The sequence below is a fragment of the Homo sapiens genome, chromosome 16 (genome assembly GCF_000001405.40).
Source record: "Homo sapiens chromosome 16, GRCh38.p14 Primary Assembly".
NCBI classification, from domain to species: Eukaryota; Metazoa; Chordata; class Mammalia; order Primates; family Hominidae; genus Homo; species Homo sapiens.
The window spans coordinates 88989577-88995445 of NC_000016.10; the positions used below are offsets into that span (position 1 = coordinate 88989577).

General features: G+C 61.2%; 1 annotated feature.

The window, feature by feature from the left end:
• Positions 1413-5039: an enhancer, noted in NCBI's record as "VISTA enhancer hs1854". NCBI's record gives its function as "enhancer in: heart[7/8]" and the evidence as "EXISTENCE:transgenic organism evidence [ECO:0001131][PMID:17130149]".

Consider the following 5869-nt stretch of genomic DNA (forward strand, 5'->3'; position numbering starts at 1 on the left):
TGGTGGGGCCCCCAGGGGTGTCTGCGGGGGTCGGACTTGAGTCCTGCCGGCCCCTCGCTGGCTGCTGCCCGCCCTGCCATCTGTCAGGTGGGGCGAGACCGTGCCAGCTGCCCTGGCCCTGAGGAGGCCTTGAGGGCATCTGAGGGGCTTGGGCCTGGCGCCAGCCCGATGGGTGTGTGCATCTGCAGCCTTGGCAGCATCTGGTAACTTCCCTCTTCCCACTCTTGGCCCTATCCCTGGTTGGGGAAGAGCCAGGTGCTCACCTGCGGCCCTGCATGGTAAACCAGACGGCGGCTCACAGGGTCATCTTGGCAGGGGACCCTCTGGCCACACAGAAGACTCGGAATTCCTGGCTCTTCTCTCCCAGCCCACGGCGGCTCCTTCCAGAGACCCTGAGAGACCCCTGGCACCCTGGGAGATGGGAGCAGAGCTGGGATCTGTCCTGGACGCAAGGGATGCCTCCCCTCTAGAACAAGCACTGGCTCCCCATGTCCCATCAGCTGAAGGCTACATCAGGTTCAGCCCTCACAGCCCTGAGCGAGCTGCCCTCCTGTGCCCTCTCCACAGCTGGGGCTTCCCGGTGGTTCCATACGGAAGCCCCTCCCTCACAACCCACCACCCCCAGCTCCAGTCACCCGTCCTCAGTCATGGTAGTGGGTGATTTGGGCTGTGAGGCCCTGGGGGGTGGCCCAGTGCAGCAGCGGCAGACGGGGCACTGTGGGGGGCTCCACGGGGGTGCTGCTGGGCCCTCTCCAGCTTCAAATGGAAAAACACAGGCCTGCGTGGGGCCCGTCCTGAGGTTCTGGACTGGGTGTGTCAGTCAGTGACGTCATCAGGGACCCTGGCCCGCTCCCTCTCATGCCTTGTCGTGGCCTCTGCCAGGCCCGCTGTCATCCGGCCTGTCGTGGCCTCTGCCCGGCCTGCTGTCATCCGGCTTGTCGTGGCCTCTGCCCGGCCTGCTGTTGTCCGACCTGTTGCCTCATGGTTCCCAGATGGGTGCTGCAGCTCCAAGAGTCACAGCTTCTGACCACTGCGTTCAGGGAAGGAAGAGAAAGAGCCAGGGAGGAAAATCTCTTCCAGAAACCTCATGCAGTTCTCCCCTTTCAGCTGACTGGCTAAGCCGGGTCTCACAGCCGTGTCTGGCTGCCAGGGAGCTGGGAAAGTTCTGTGGGGTCCCTGCCTTTCGGGGGGATAAAGGCAAGGGCTCAGAGGGAACAGAGTTAGCCGTGGCCATGGAAGGAAGAGCAGAGCTTCCTCCAGGCTGAGTGGGGCCGGAACACTGCTGGGCCCAGCTCTAGTCGGCGGGAGGCTGTGTGCTGTGTTGGGGAGCGGATTTGGCACCTGAGTGTGTGCCTCAGTGACAGTACCTGTGCTCTGGGGCTCAGGATGGGGTGACAGGACAGCACCACCCCAGGTGTGGACAGCAGGCTTAGACTGGTGATGAGGGGGCTTGTCCTGGGGAGGGCCTCAGGCAGCTCTGTTAGACCCAAAGTAGGAGAGCTTCTTGCAACGGAGGCCTGGAGCAAATTCACGCCTGCAGAGCGGAGGAGCCCTCCTCTTCCCAGGTGGAACCCCACGTGTACCTCTTCTCCGAGGAGGCTCCTTGGGGAGCTGTGTGGATCCTTCCCACTTTCCCTCCACCTGGGGCTGCCTCTCTCCCCTGCCTAGCTTCGAGGGATGGGGATGGTGGCTGGCTGGGAGCCCTGTGTCCCCTCACTATGATGGGGACCCTCAGCTGTACCCGCCTGAGGGCTGCAGCCGACTCATGGTGCCCCTTGCCTGGCTGTTCCGAGGAGTCCGGAAGAGGCTCACTTCTACATTTGCCCTGAAAATCTCAATTTTTGCTTTAAAATGCAGCAGCGACTGGGCAAGGTAGGGCTCACGCTTGTAATCCCAGCACTTTGGGAGGCCGAGGCGGACAGATCATCTGAGGTCAGGTGTTTAAGACCAGCCTGGCTAACATGGTGAAACCCTATTGCTACTAAAGACACAAAAATTAGCTGGGCCTGGTGGCACATGACTGTAATCCCAGCTCCTCGGGAGGCTGAGGCAAGCGAATCACTTGAACCTGGGAAGCGGAGGTTGCAGTGAGCTGAGATCGTGTCACTGCACTCCAGCCTGGGCGACAGAGTAAGACTCTGTCTCAAAAAATAAATAAATAAAATGCAGCAGCCCTGGTCCCCTTAGGAACCCTTTCCTCCACAAATACCCCTGTTTACCTGAACACAAGGCTGGGGGCTGTGTTTCTTTTGTGTCCCCAGTGCCTAGACTCGTACCAGGCACACAGTAGGTGCTTTGTACGTGTTTGTAGAAGGAACGAATGAACAGTGCCCCTGTGATGGGCCCAGGGAGCCCAACGTGACCCACACAGCACATGCCTGATCACACGTGGGCGCTGGGGGGCGTGTTATGTGTCTGCTTGTTTGTAAATGTGAGTCTTTTCTTTCCAGACAGACTGGAGCCCGAGGGTAGGAATTTGTTTTTCCAAGACTCCAGACTCCAGCCCATGACAAAAGCCAAACACACAGCTGGCGACCCGCGGGCCCGGAGCTGCCTGGTGACTGGGATACCCCAGGCTGCCCAAACAACTGGGTACCCTGGAACGTGGCGGCCTCGTGGATTCTGGAGGCCGAGGCCTCCGCATCCTGGTGAGGTGCATGGCTTCTCTCTGGGCCTGCTGTGTCTGTGATGTGGGGCTCCCTGACCGCCTGGGCCTCAGTTTCCCCACCATCCTACAGGGATAACGGGGTATAGTGAGAGAAAGTCAGTTGTTCTCTGCAGAAAGCACCCCGGGCCGGGAGTGCTGGGGGCGGGCTGGGACTCTGCTGCTGACGGCTGGGCGACCGTGGGGACGTCTTCCTGGGCCACCTCCGCATCCCACCCCCGGGGTCATCGCCTCTACAGGGTGGGGCTGGGGCTCTGAGTCTGCAGACAACTCCACATCCGGCAGCCCATCTCTGTGCCTGGGAACTTCCCCCAGTCTGCCCAAGGTGGCCCGAGAGATACTGGGCAGGGGGCTGGGAGCGTTCCTGCTGTGACAGAGGCAGTTACCCGGCCTGCTTGGCCTTCCTCTGAGTTTATCTCCCATAGCCCAGCCAGGCCGCCTCCTTATCACGGCCACGGTGAACTGGGGGCAGGGGTCACAGCGTCAGGCGCCCCTTCAAGAGGCTTCTACCCAAATCCCCAGCCACCCCGAGGTACTCCTTCCCCAGGGGCACCTGGAGTGTCTCCCATCAGCTGCCTGGGTGGGCTCCCAGCCCCCCATCAGCTGCCTGGGTGGGCTCCCAGCCCCAAGCGCGAGAGCCCTGTTCCCTCGGCTGCCTGCGGCTTCCCCCACCCCCACCGCCCAGGGCTGTTTTGCTCTCACACCTGTGCTCTGAGTCTCTGAGTCGGTTCACATCAGCCCTCGAATCTAACCGAATCCAAAAATATGAAGCCGGGGCCCATCTGTCGGCCAACTGATGAGCGCAAATGAGCTCTGGATTTCAGACGAGGCCGGCAGCCGGTCAGGGATGTTAGGAGCGGCACCTGCTGCCCAGCTTCCCTGTCCCCCTCTCGTTCCTCAGCCCCTCCCAGCCCCAAGATCCTCTGGAGGGGCTGGCTCCTGCTCCACCAAGTGGGAGGAGTGTCCTGGGGCCTCCACAAGAGCCAGGCCCACCAGCTGGGACCCTTTGCTGTGAGCCTGTGCTCAGAGCCCAGCCCCGGGCTGCAGCTGGGCAGGAGCTGGGTCCGCTCTGGGTGGAGACACTGGCAGCACTGCGGCTGCCTCACAGCCTCAGCACTTGCTTCCCCCTGCCGGGAGCACCATCCCCAGGGGCCCCAGGACTCCTTCCCCTCCATCCCAACACGTGGTTGGGACTAAACAATATGTTTGCAACTTGTTTTGGGGTTCACATGAGGGTTCCATCTGCTTCATGTAACGGATGCCCTTACTGCTCTTATGTCCAGAGGGGGTGGAGAGGAAACAAAGCAGATGCCCCTCCCTCCTTCCTCCCTCCCTCTTCCCTCCCTCCTCCTCCCTCCTTCCTGCCTCCTCCCTTCCTCCCTCCCTCCTTCCTCCCCCCTCCTCTCTCCTCCCTCCTCCCTCCCTCTTCCCTCCTCCTTTCCCCTTCTTCTCTTCCTCTCTCTCCCCTCCTCCCTCCCTTCCTCCTCCTTCCTCTTTCCTCCTCCCTCCCCCCTCCTCTCCCTCCCTCTCCCCTCCTCCCTCCTCCCTCTTCCCTCCCCCTTCTTCTCTCCCTCCCTCCTCTCTTCCCTCCTCCTTCCTCCTCCTCCCTCCTCCCTTCTTCCCCTCCCTTTCTCCTCCCTCCCTTTTTTTCTCCTTCTTCCCTTCTGTGAGAGCCAGAACCAGGGGCCCAGTGAGGAGGCTGTGGTTTTGGAGTCTGAGGTTGGGGCTGGACAGGGGAGGTATGGCTGGCAGCTGGGAGGAGCTGGAATCTGGCTGTAGCTGGGGAAGAAGCAACAGGACCGTCCGGCAGATGAGAAAACTGAGGTTACCTGGAGTCGGTCGGCCCTGCCCCTGCCCCATAACGTGCCCCCCAGGCACCTGTGCACGAGGCTTCTCTGTGGTCAGCACCTGTTCAGCTCCAGGGATGGCCGAGGGAGCCCCAGGACCAGGAGTCTTGGTGGCTCAGGAGGAACTGGGCCTGTCCAGAGTCCTGGGGTCCGAGAGCACGGATGCTGAGGCAGGTTCAGCCCTTGCTGGACAGGTCGGAGACCTGCTTCCAGGCCAGCGAAGCCCAGGGGGCCTGTCTACCACCCACCTCCCTCAGCTCCTGTCCTGGGCGTTTTGCTTTGGTACCAGGACCGGGCGGTGGCATGGGCTCCACTCCCTTCTCCCATGGGACGGATGAAGCCACTGAGAGCCAGGGTCTCCCAGGCAGGAAAAGGCAGCACCAGAATTGGAACCCAGTGCCCCCTCAGTGCCAGGCATCCATGACCCCAGTCCCCAAGTGGCTGAGCCGTGGGACCCAGATGAGACCTCCCTGCGGCAATTGGGGCCCCGAGCTGGGCGGCCCTAAGGCCACAGTCAGGCTCTCACAAGCGGCTTGGGGCAAGGGCTCCCCCAACAGCAAGCCAGGTTTGGGGCCTGGCTGGGGATCCCTGGCTGTCCCCAATCCTCGCAAGCCTGTTTGCCCATCCCTCAAATGGGGATCAGGAGAAGCCAGTTCTCCTAGTGTTTGCATTGAAATCTGCCCAGGTCTGTGGCTTGCGAGCCTTTCTGAGCACAATCTACAGTGAGGAAGGCATTTTATCTCCTCACAATATTCACGTGCTCTTGTGTGTTCTGCAAATGACACAGCAATGCCACTTAGACGCACGAGAGTCTATGTGATTTCTGTGTGCGTGAATGTGGGATCTGTTCACGCTCACACGTGGCGGACAGCAGCCCTTCCCCTTCCCCTTCCCCTTGGAGAAGTGCCGTGGCTTCCATTTTATTTACTGTAGCATTTCTTTTACCTTTGCACTGTGAAGTGCACACGCCCTTGGGGCAGCAGGAAACAGAGCAGGTGGGACGCCCTGAGCCCCTGCATCCTCCACGGCTGCCCCAGGAGGTGGCTTCAGCCCCAGCACGAGCTGCGATCACATCCCTGCTTTCTCCGTCGTTTTAGGCCTCTGTGCGTGTCCCTTCCTCAGCACAGCGTCGCCTGCCTGTGGCCGGGACCCGACGTCTTTTTCGCCTCCTTGCCTCTGAGTTCTGTTTCGTGTGGGGGGTGAGTCTCAGGCTCCCACGTTCCTGCCGCACAGCATTGCTGGAGGAGACATCTCCTCGCTTCATTTGTCTGTCCCGCCAGGCTGCTGTGGGACGTTCACAGTCACAAACTGCAGCGTCATAGGAAACGTACCTTTGGCCTCTGCCCCAGTTCCTGGC